Consider the following 12,162-nt stretch of genomic DNA (forward strand, 5'->3'; position numbering starts at 1 on the left):
TTTTGGGGAAGCTCACTGTTGCTATGTACCCATGCCTTCTCTCTCTCTCTTTCTCTCTCTCTCCCTCTCTCTCTCTGTCTCTCTCTTTCTAATGAAGAGTTTAGCTTTGGAGTTAATGAGCAAAAGATTTCCTTACCATAAAGTGAAGCCCATCAAGTGAAAGCAAGTAGAAAGGCGCAGAAAGGTTTATCCTTGTCACCATGTGGAAGGACACTTGGGGAGCAGATCATTTGGTAACTGTTGGTACTTGTGGCCTCTACATCTTGTAAATTCATACATGTCCACGTTTGACCTAATTGTAGACTTTTTTGAAATTTTCAGTTTTAGGTGAATACCAATGAGTACCCAGAGTTTTCTGTCTTTGTTGTCCTCTGGATGTTGGTCCCAAATCCACTCAGGCAACAAATCCTGGAGTTACCTGCTCCTTATCTTTAAAGTATATGTAGCCCTTGGTCTCCATTTCTGCTGCCTTTTTTTTTTTGCTTATTTTTAAATTTAAAATTGACAAATACAGTTGTATGTATTTATGGGCACAATGTAATGTTATAATTAATAAATATAATATGGGATAATTAAATAAAACTAATTAAGATATCCATCGCTCCAAATACTTACCAGTTTTGTGGTAAGCACATTTGAAATTTACTCTCTTAACAATTTTCAAATGTACAGTACATAATTATTCACTATACTCGCCACACAATTTGAGCTCCTTATATATTTTGGATATTAAACCCTAATCAGATGTATGCCTTGAAAATATTTTCTCTCAATCCAAAGGTTGTCGCTTCATGCAGTTGTTTTCCTTGCGGTACAGGGGCTTTTTATTTTGATATAATCCCATTTTTCTATTTTTGCTTTTGTTGCATGAACTTTTAGGGTCAGGTCTAAAATATCATTGCCCAGAATAATGTTGTGTAATTTTCCCCCTATCTCTTTTGACAGCCTACAATCAGATATATGAGCAAAGAAATGATTTAAAGTTGGAACTTACATTTAAAAGGGAAGCAGAGTGTAAAATTTTGGATAATTTGCAGCCTGGCTATGTGGCCAGAGAAATAAAAAGCATTTTTAGGAGAGGAATACAAGCAGGCTGAGGAACAACCACTTGCTTAGAAAGATTAGCGTGACTAAAAGGGAGCCAAGTGCTAATTTCCAAGACAATGGGGAAAAGGCATATCAGAGATCTTGGAGACAGACTCTGCTATCAGACCCAGAGCATTATGAGGAAATAATGGTTTCAGGGACCAGGCCTGGGCCATTGCCCTGCTCAGGCTTGAGACACTGCTGTCTGCATGTGGGCTGCTTCAGCTCCATCTCCAGCTCCAGCTCAAAGGGCCCCAAGTACAGCTTGGGCTGCTGGCTCTGGAGGGCACAAGCTGTAAGCTTTAGTGGCTTTCATGTGGTATTAAGTCTGCAGGTGCACAGAGTGCAAAAGTGAAGGAAACTTCGCAGATTCCCCTAGATTTCAGAGGATGTATTGGAAATCCTGGGTGCCCAGGCAGTAGCCTGCTGCAGAGGTGGAGCCCTTACAGAGAACCTCTACTAGAGCAGTGTGGAGAGGAAATGTGGAGTTGAAGCCCCCCACATAGAGTCCTCACCAGGGCACTGCCTTGTGGAGTGATGGGAAGAGGGCCACCACCCGCCACGTCCCAGAATGGTAGAGCCATGGGCAGCTTGTATCCTGAGCTTGGAAAAGCTGCAGACACTCAACTCCAACCCATGAGAGCAGTCATGGGGTCTGCATCCTGCAAAGCCACAGGGACAGCGCTGCCCATGCACCAGTGTGCCCTGGATGTGGGACATGGAGTCAAAGATGATTATTTTGGAGCTTTAAGATTTAATGACTGCCGCCGAGCGTAGTGGCTCACGCCTGTAATCCCAGCACTTTGGGAGGCTGAGGTGGGTGGATCACGAGGTCAGGAGATCAAGACCATCCTGGCTAACACAGTGAAACCCCGTCTCTACTAAAAGTACAAAAAATTAGCACGGCGTGGTGGTGGGCGCCTGTAGTCCCAGCTACTCGGGAAGCTGAGGCAGGAGAATGGCGTGAACCTGGGAGGCGGAGCTTGCAGTGAGCAAAGATCACGCCACTGCACTCCAGCCTGGGCGACAGAGCGAGACTCCGTCTCAAAAATAAATAAATAAATAGCCTGGGTGCGGTGGCTCACGCCTGTAATCCCAGCACTTTAGGAGGCCAAGGCAGGCAGATCACGAGGTCAGGAGTTCGAGACCAGTCTGGCCAACATGATGAAACCCAGTCTCTACTAAAAATACAAAAAACTAGCCAGGCATGGTGGCGGGTGCCTGTAGTCCCAGCTACTCGGGAGGCTGAGGCAGGAGAATGGCGTGAACCCAGGAGGCGGAGCTTGCAGTGAGCCGAGATCATGCCACTGCACTCCAGCCTGGGCAACAGTGTAAGACTCAATCTCAAAAAAAAAAAAAAAAAAAAACAACATTTAATGACTGCCCTTCTGGGTTTCAGACCTGCATGGGAACTGTAGCCCCTTTCTTTTGGCCAGTTTTTCCCTTTGGAATGGGAATATTTACCCAATGCCCATATTACCATTGTATCTCGGAAATAAATAACTTGTTTTTGATCTTACAGGCTCATAGGTGGAAGGAACTCATCTCCAGATGAAACTTTGGACTTCAGACTTGGGACTTTTGATTGAGTTGGAATTGGAACAAATTAAGACTTGGGAGAACTATTGAGAAAGGATGATTATATTTTGCAATGTGAGAAGGACATGAGATTTGGGGAGCTAGAGGCATAATGATATAGTTTAGATATTTGTCCCCTCCAAATCTCATGTTAAAATCCCCAGTGTTGGAGGTGGGGCTTGGTGGAAGGTGTTCTGATTATGGGGGCAGATCCTTCATGAATGGCTTAGTCCATCCATTTGGTGATGAATGAGTTCTTGCTCTGGTGGTTAACATGAAATGTGGTTATTTAAAGAGTGTGGCACCTCCCCCCACTCTTGTTCCTACTCTCAACTTGTGACATGCTAGCTTCCCTTCACCTGCCACCATGACTATAAGCTTCCTGAGGCCTTACCAGAAGCTGAGCAGATGCCAGCACCATGATTTCTGTAGAGCCTGCAGAGCTGTGAGCCAATTAAGCTCAGCGTCAGGTGTTTCTTTCTTTTTTTTTTTTTTTGAGACAGAGTATTGCTCTGTTGCCCAGGCTGGAGTGCCTGGAGGCATGATCTCAGCTCACTGCAACCTCCACCTCCTGGGTTCAAGAGCGACTCTCATGCTTCAGCCACCCAAGGAGCTGGGATTACAGGAGTGTGCTACCACGCCCAGCTAATTTTTGTATTTTAGTGGAGATGGGGTTTCACCATGTTGGCCAGGCTGGCCTCGAACTCCTGACCTCAAGTGATTCACCCACCTTGGCCTCCAAAAGTGCATGAGGCGTGAGCCACTGTGCCTGGGCAGTTATTTGTTTATAGTGATGCAAGAACAGACTAACACAAATGGGTTCAGAATGCAGTTGTGGAAAAGGTGTATAATTTAATAGTTCCCTCAAACCTCACAGAAGAATTTCAGAAAGATCCTATATTTGTTTTTGAATGCATGCAGAGAATAGATTAAAATATAAATATCTTGATGTTTTTTATATTACATATTTATATCCCATCTTTTTCCAAAACAGATTTAAAGTGGTTTCATCTTTGACATGGTAATCTAACCCATGACATTCAAAAGCCACAAGGACAGAAAAAGAATTTTCTAAGACTGCCTGAAGCGCAACTTCATTTGATATGATTTCCTAGCCTAGAATATAATCAGGAAGGCACTGATTTCTTTCTGTTACTGTTGTTTTTAAGCAAAAAAGATCCCATTCCTCCTCTTCTATTTCTTTGCATGGTGAATAGCTTCGCTAGTTACCCAGCCACTAAACAACAACCTGGGAATCAACTTCCTCTCTATTCTGTTGCCCCTTCCCCCAAACAACCACTCGATCATCAAGATTTCTTCCTCGATTTCATGTTCAGCTCTACATCCAGGGTCTAAATTCACACCTTGGATTTCTGCTGCCTGAACTAATCCAGCAGTCGCACTCTGTAGCCCTTCAGTCCCTCTTCTGTAGCATGTCCAAAGTGTTCTTTCTAGCAGAACAATGTGATTGTGTTACTCTTGTACTTGAAATCCCTCAATGTCTTTTTCACTGTCTCTGGGATTTATTCCAGACTCCCTAGCATACATACAGGGACCTCAAGGTCTGGCAGCTGCTCAGTTCTCCAGCCGTATATCTCTGAATGGTTTCTCTCTCGGCCTCATTTCTCCATCACCCCTCCTCCCAGTAAACACATACACTAGAACCATTGTGAATTTCTCAGAGTACTTCTTATGGTCTAGGATAGTTTACATTTTTGGGTCCCTTTTGCTGCTCCTCTGCCTATAATTTATCCCTTCCCCTCTTGCCTTCCCTCTACCCCCCAAGGCTGGCTCAGCTTTTAAGACTCAATCGAAGTGCCACCACCTCTCTGAAGCCTTTTTCACACTTCACCCTTAGGAAGAATGAAGCATCTTCTTCCTCTTCTTCCCTTCCATGTCTATAATCCTCAACACATTTTTTTTTTCATGAATTGTCTGCAACACTGTTTGCTTTCGCTAGACTGAAAGATCTTAGGGACAAAGTCCAAGTTATGCTCCTTCTGCTGTCTCTAATATCTAGCATCATTCCTGACACTTTAGCAGTATTTCATAAATGTTTATTGACTAAATGCATATTTACCTATGCATGAAAGAGTAACAGTTTCAGAGTTTTTGTTAGCTGCATTCCTTTACTTCCTATCAGTTTGGGGAAGTAGATTTAGTATCCACAAAATGATTGGGGGTCCCCTGTACTGCAAAGATTTGACTTTAAGAAGTAGGTGGCTGGGTACGATAGCTCATGCTTATAATCCCAACATATTGGGAGGCCAAGGCAGAAGGATCGCTTAAGCCCAGGAGTTTGAGACCAGCCTGAGCGACGTAGTAGGGACCCATTCCGTATGAAAAACCATATATATTAGCCAGGCATGGTGGCGTGTGCCTCCCAAATTGGCTGAAGCAGGAGGATTGCTTGAGCCTGGGAGGTCAAGGCTGTAGTGAGCCATGATTGTGCCACTGCACGCCAGCCTGGATGACAGAGCGAGACCCTGTCTCAAAATAATAATAATAAATAAAGAAACAGGCCCGTGAACAGCATCAGCAGTTTCAGCTACTAATACTAGCAGTCTTTGTTCCTCTTAGAGTGCAGAGAGCTGCTGGTCACTTTTGATCTTTATTAAAACACCCATACACAGTAAGATTGCTTGGGAATCCAAGGCAGAATATATCTGTGTGGTTTGAGAGAGGACTTTAAAGTGTTAGAGAGTCTAATCTTAGAGCACACTAAAAAGAGAGTAGATACACTACCCCAGGACAGAGATGAAATAATGAATTTGCTGAATATTCCATGTGGGCCCTGAACATCAACAGGGCAAGAGAGAAGTCAAGAAATGAAAAGTGCTGGTAAGGTCAGCAAGTACCTATCTTGGCACCCAATGGTACCAAGTGACCATTGCATGGACCATGCTCTGGGAGGGCATGAGAAAAATTAAGGGCAAAGGACATTCCCTCAAAGAGTTTACCAGTTTAAAGCTTTAATGTCACTGAAACTAATATGTCTTCTGTGACAAGCTTTGATGATAAATGTAGACTAAGTTTTTTAAAATCATATAAAAATTTAAAATACTTTGCAAAGCACAAACAATTTTCTTAGGCCTGCCTTGGTAGCAAGAACAGTTTGTAATGACTAAAAAGTGAAGAATCTATGGTATATTCATGGTCTAAATCAGATATTGCAAGCTGGTGCCCTCTGGACTGGAGTCATACGATATTTTCAAATTCAGGAAATTTTAAATAAAAATTAAGATTTCTTACTTGTGATTTCCTTGTGCTCTCAGGTTAAAATGGTTTATGCAAGACTTGATGGTTTGAAATAAAATTGGCTAAATGGATTCTAGTATAAATGCAAAGGATATTTAACTCACTTGGGAGCTCATAGGCATAATGCATATGTTTGTTTAAAAACAAAAGAAGCAATTGAAGATTAACATTGACTTTGTCTCGCCTGGCGCGGTGGCTCACGCCTGTAATCCCAGCACTTTGGGAGGCCGAGGTGGGCGGATCATGAGGTCAGGAGATTGAGACCATCCTGGCTAACAGGGTGAAACCCCGTCTCTACTAAAATACAAAAAAATTAACCAGGCATGGTGGGGGGCGCCTGTAGTCCCAGCTGCTCAGGAGGCTGAGGCAGGAGAATGGCATGAACCCGGGAGGCAGAGCTTTCAGTGAGCCAAGATCCTGCCACTGCACTCCAGCCTGGGCGATACTGACTTTGTCTCATAGTTTAGATCTGGGATAAACAAACCTTTTCTGTAAAGGGCCAGAATATTTTAGGCCTTTATTTATTTTAGGTTTTGCAGGTCCTATAATCTCTGTTGCAGCTAAACAGCTCTGCCACTGTAGTGTGAAGTCACCATAGATGATACCTGGACAAATGAGCATGGCTGTGTTCAATAAAACTTTGTTTATGAACACTGAAATTTGAAATTTATATAATTTCTACATGTCACAAAATTTTTTTTGTCTTTTTTTCAGCTATTTAAAACTGTAATAACTATTCTGAGCTCATGGGCCATATAAAAACAAGAGATGGACCTCATTTGACATATAGGCCAAATGGACATTGGCTGAGTGTCATTGTAAAATCTTGGTCTTAGGCTTTTTAGACCTGATTAGCCTAAAAGGAACAAACTAGAATGTTCTGTTCTCTTTACAGGGCAAAGGAATTCTCCTTTCCCTACTTTTTATTTTTTATTTTTTCATTTTTTTTGGATGGAGTCTTACTCTGTCACCCAGGCTGGAGTGCAGTGGCACCATCTTGGCTCACTGCAACCTCCGCCTCCCAGGTTCAAGCAATTCTTCTGCCTCACCCTCTCTAGAAGCTGGGATTGCAGGTTCGTGCCCGACGCCCAGCTAATTTCTGTATTTTCAGTAGAGATGGGTTTTCACCATGTTGGCCAGGCTGGTCTCGAACTCCAGACCTCAGGTGATCCACCCACCTCGGCCTCCCAAAGTGCTGGGATTACAGGCATGAGCCACCATGCCTGGCTTCCCTACTTTTTTATATCCATGGGGAGCTTGGTTGATATCCTGCTTGAACATGGAAGACCCAAGTTGCTCACCCTGTGTTTTCCAAAGCCTTAAAGGCTAGTCTACATTTCAGACAGCCCAGGTGATGAGGGAGCCTTGTGTTTTCTGTGAGGAACCTTATCCCTTAAGCATCTATATCCCAGTCATACTTATGCATGGAAAGGCTAAGTAAAATCTATTAATATCCTAGCTAGAAAGAAAACTATAAAATTACACATAGATGCAAGCTTGTGTGTATTCTGCAGTTCAAAGTGTAGTCAGCAAAAAAAGCATACACGCTATCGCACTGGGAGGAAATCGGTGTCTTTGAAATCAAATACCCTGCCATTGGCATATCCAGGCTTGAAACTCAGCTGCAGCTTTTAGCTTCCACCACATGTTTACATTGGAAATCTCTCTGTGCACATATAGAGTTTGTTCTCTTATGAAATCATGTCTCTAGGGAAGGATAATTTAAAGCCATTTCCGTTTGTTATGTCTGAGCTGAACTAGACTATTAGGGCTTGTTAACGCTGGATAAACTTGAGCCCTATAACTGCCTTCATCTGCAGATTATAGAATCTGTCCAACAAATTGCATTCTGATGTTTTCAGAATGATGGCTAAGCAAGCAAGGGCCTTTTAATTTATATTCTATCACCATGGTTGTCAGGAATCACAGTTTTGACTTTCATGCTTACTTGGTATAGCAGCGATGATATGACTCTTGAATGGACCAAATCCAGAAGTAATTGAGACACTAAACTGCATCTGCATGTTACTATAGCAGAGTGAGCAAAGGCTGACAGTCAGAAAATTGCTGGTGAAGCATCTTTCTTCAGAGTGCCTCCCTTCCCCGAGTCTTAGCATAAATCAGTGTTAGGTCCACTGAAATATCGTGTGTGGTCTGCATTTAGAAATTTTATTTGAAAATGAGACAGATGGATAAATGAAAACAAGTTTTCTTTAGGCTAGTGTTAAGTAAATAGAATTAAGTGAAGATAGACAGTTTTCCTGATTTAGTGGAGGGGAGATGGTGGTTGCCCCAGGATATCTAACTCCCTCTGCCTCTATTCATCAAATCCACTGAACACATTTGCCTTCAGTTTGGCTTAATATCATTCACCATTTTAGATAGTGGGATACTGGAAGGTAGAAATTACATCTGTTTGACTTCTTTTGTGAACCAGTGTAGCAGAACTACCAGTACAACTTAAGTAAAATCACAAATAGGATGGCACCAGGCAATAGTGTGACTATCCAACATGGCATCCCCTAGCTGGGAAAGGAATCCTTTCTTCATGGCTCTGGCCTTATTTTCAGTAGCTCCACTGAATTCACTTCTTTTCAATAAACTTGTAGAAGGTACTGCCCTACGCCCTGAGGTTGGGGACAGTGGCAGTGGTAGGATACAGAGACAAGTAAGACATAGACCCTGCCCAAAAGGTGACTGTATACATAAAGCACCCTAATCCAGACCAGACTCAAAGAATGCTAGAAATGAAGGGCAGACATAGGACAGTGGCATTTTGAGTAAGAAATAGGGTTTCAACTGGTGGGAGAAAGAAGAACCTGCTAGACTAAGGGAACAGCATGAACTAAAGACCAGAAGTAGAAAAGTACTACTTTTTGTACCAAAAGTAGAAAAGACCAAAAGTGTTGAGGGAGAATGGGAATAATTCCTCTCTCTCTCTTTCCTTTTTTCCCTTTATTCTTTATTCAATAATTATTTGATGAATGTTTATGGTAAACCGAACAGACACAGCTCCTGCCCACACAAAGCTTACAGTCTAGAGGAGGAACAACCAGGAATCAAAGAAGCCCAAAGTAAATAACAAATTACAGCCCTGACCCTTACCTCAAAGGAGAGGGGTACATTGACTAAGAGAGCACATTACAGGAGAGTGGAACATACTTTACAAGCCTTTACTGGAGAGATGTCCTGCCACCTGAAGAGAGAGGAGGCATTGATTAGAGGAGAGCGCTCTATGGAGAGGAGTCAGCGTGGACACTGAGACTGCAAGAGTGAGGGAATGTGCGGGATTAGACCACAGTCAGGGAGCAGAACACAGTGGGGTTTTTGGTCTTTATTCTAAGAGCAAAGAAAAGCTATTGACCTGTTTCTAGCAAAAGATGGGGTAAGGTAATGAGATTTGCTAGTTGGAAAGATCCCACTAGCTGCAGTGTAGAGAATGAATTAGATGGGTGAAGAGGGACCCCTGCCAGGAGGCAGATGCAATTGTCCATGGGGGATATTCTGGTTTCTTTGCACTGGAGTAATGAGGATGGGGATGAAAAGAAGGGAATATGTTTAAGAGCTGATAATGAGCTTGGCCTTGGCAACACTGAGTTTGATGCACCTTTGAGATACTAAGGAGACATACCAGGAAGATATAGGTGTACTGGAGCTCACTGAAGAGGTCTGGGCTGGAGATAAACAATTGAGTCATCTCCTTATAGGTGATAATTGAGCCATAAAAGTGGATAAATAAATATAAGTTGAATGAATGATAGAATTAATGAATAGATGGTATTGGGTGAGGAAAGAGCACAGAGTAACGAGGGCTTAAACAACGTTGTGGTGCTGTATTTCTGTAACTATTACTTATCAGTTGTGAGACTGGACAAAGTGATTTTCCTCTGGCCAGGTCTGATGCCTCCTATGGACACATTCTGAAAGCCAGCAGGAACCTAGAAAGTGACCAGGCCACCCCCTTGCCCACATAGAAACATGTCTGCTAACTCTTCCACCTTACCAATAGGTGGATTCCAAGAGTTCACATAAAAGGTGGTTGTTTGGATTGTAGAAGTCTCTTCCCAAAAGAAACTCCTATTTTCCTAGGGAGATGCCACCATAGACCCTAATTAACCAAGGTCCTTTCTGTGAGACATTATGTTCAATAGGACCTTGAGGTGTTACAAACTATTTCCTCACAGATGCCTGGGCATAGGCCTGGACTCTTCCCCAGAATCCTCCCATCCCACTTGCCAGGCACTGAGAAACAGGACTTTCCACTTGTTTGTCACTGGCAAGGACTTCATGGCTTCAGAGAGGGAGCTCCAGGGGTTTCTGGGACACTTACCAGTATAAATTCCCTGAGGTTCTTCTAAGTCTGTGCTTGAATTCATTCATTCATTCCCTTCTTATCTTTTCTGAGGACCCCAAGAATTGGCCTGCCTGTGTCCTTTGCTTTTACTTGCAGCAGGTGGGGGTCTGGCACGGTCGGGGGAAGGGTTTTGATGGGAAAAGTGAGGCTGGTACTATTTTTCCTCCCATGTTTAGCCTATAGAGTATAGTCATAAAACTTTTCCTCAATGTTTCAGTCCTGAAGCAAGCGCACAGCTCATTGGAAGTTTCTAAGGATTTTTATTATTAGCAATGTCAGAAAGCAAGTTGAAAGCAAAACAGCCCCCTCTGGGCCTCTTCCCTAGCCTTTCCTTATTTTGTGTTGCTTTCCTCACACCCAGGAGGAACACATATCCCAATTCCTGAGGACAGTCCTGATTTGCAACTGGCATCGTGGCACAACTGCCAATAGTACCACCTTTAAAAAGTTTAGACACTGAATTATGGTCATGCTACTTAACCCCATAAAGAAAAATAAAGTAATGCATTGGGGGTAATAGTGGATTTACAAAAGACTACAATAATCTCGATCTGCATTTTAGCGAGAGGATATGAGCCACAGAGTGATTTCTTTGGTATTTTGTCCCAACAGCTGGACTGGGCCTCTATGTGTGTAGGTGAGGGATGGGGTACAGAGAGGAGGACTTGTGGGAAGTGCTGGAATATCAGGGCTAGAATATTGCCACAGAAATGTGTCTATTTTTTCTCCTGTCTCTTTCTCAGTAACCAGATCTACCTTGGAAGACTCAGACTGGCACTTTGGCAAGGTGAGATGAAAAATCAGGGCTGAGGAAGGTGCATTTGCAGGCACTGTGGGGTCCACAGCAGAGAGGATAAAAACGTGGAGGCAGAGGTGCATCCGAGTCATAATAGCACAGAGCCGGGCGTTGGGGTTGGGGCCTGAGCCATTGTTGTCTGGCTGTCGCAGCAGGGGGAAAGGAGGACAGAAGTGTCAATGTTTCGTTTAGAATTTTTCTAAAAAGTTGCCACTTTGGGTGAAGGGCTCAGTAAGACCTTCCCCTCCACACTCCACATAACTATGCTTCTATTAGAAGTATTCTGAGCAGTTCAGGCCTTCCACGTGGTGGAACTGTGTGGGGTACCCTCAAGCCCATGGGTCTCTAGGGGTTGTGCCTAAGTCACATGTATACGTTCCACCTGTGATGTTAGGCAAGCAAGCATATGATCCTTTCTCATCACCACTTCCATGAAACAAAGACATTTTAGAACTGTTGACGATAGCAATGTTTTCTCGACAAAGAGATTACTTGTAAAGTAGTAAAGAACATTAGAAAAAGGAGCTATAGTCATATGGTCACTGTTCTTTGTGGTGCTATATAGGTGGTGTGTATATTATAAGAACTTTTGTGTCTTCCAATAATGTTTTTTGGTTTTTGGTTTTTTGGTTTTTTTTTTTTTTTTTTTGAGATGGAGTCTCGCTCTGTTGCCAGTCTGGAGTGCAAGGGCACGATTTCGGCTCACGGCAACCTTCACCTCCCAGGTTCAAGCGATTTTCCTGCCTCAGCCTCCAGAGTAGCTGGGACTACAGGCACACACCACCACGCCCAGCTAATTTTTACTGTTAGTAGAGACGAGGTTTCACCATGTTAGCCAGGATGGTCTCGATCCCTTGACCTCGTGATCTACCCACCTCAGCCTCCCAAAGTGTTGGGATTACAGGCGTGAGCCACCGCGCCTGGCCCCAATAATGTTTTAAACGAGTAAAATGAAGTTTGTCACTTCTGCATGCTTACAAGCTTAAACATCAAAAGAATTGGCCAGGTGTGGTGGCTCACACCTGTAATCCCAGAACTTTAGGAGACGAAGTTGGGAGGATCACTTGAGTCTGGGAGTCCAAGACCAGCC

At 43.4% G+C, this 12,162-nt stretch overlaps 1 protein-coding gene across 12 annotated transcripts in view, besides 1 other annotated feature; it reads left to right on the forward strand.

Annotated features, from left to right (window-relative positions):
• Positions 1 to 12,162, forward strand: part of RAD51B (RAD51 paralog B) — an 863,318-nt gene that overhangs the window by 522,736 nt on the left and 328,420 nt on the right. The window lies entirely within an intron of this gene.
• Positions 817 to 1,501: an enhancer, noted in NCBI's record as "NANOG-H3K4me1 hESC enhancer chr14:68810048-68810732 (GRCh37/hg19 assembly coordinates)". NCBI's record gives its function as "activates a minimal SCP1, AML or CMV promoter by ChIP-STARR-seq in primed H9 embryonic stem cells {active_cell/tissue: H9 hESC(primed)}" and the evidence as "EXISTENCE:reporter gene assay evidence [ECO:0000049][PMID:30033119]".

This window comes from Homo sapiens, chromosome 14, assembly GCF_000001405.40.
Source record: "Homo sapiens chromosome 14, GRCh38.p14 Primary Assembly".
Taxonomy (NCBI): domain Eukaryota; kingdom Metazoa; phylum Chordata; class Mammalia; order Primates; family Hominidae; genus Homo; species Homo sapiens.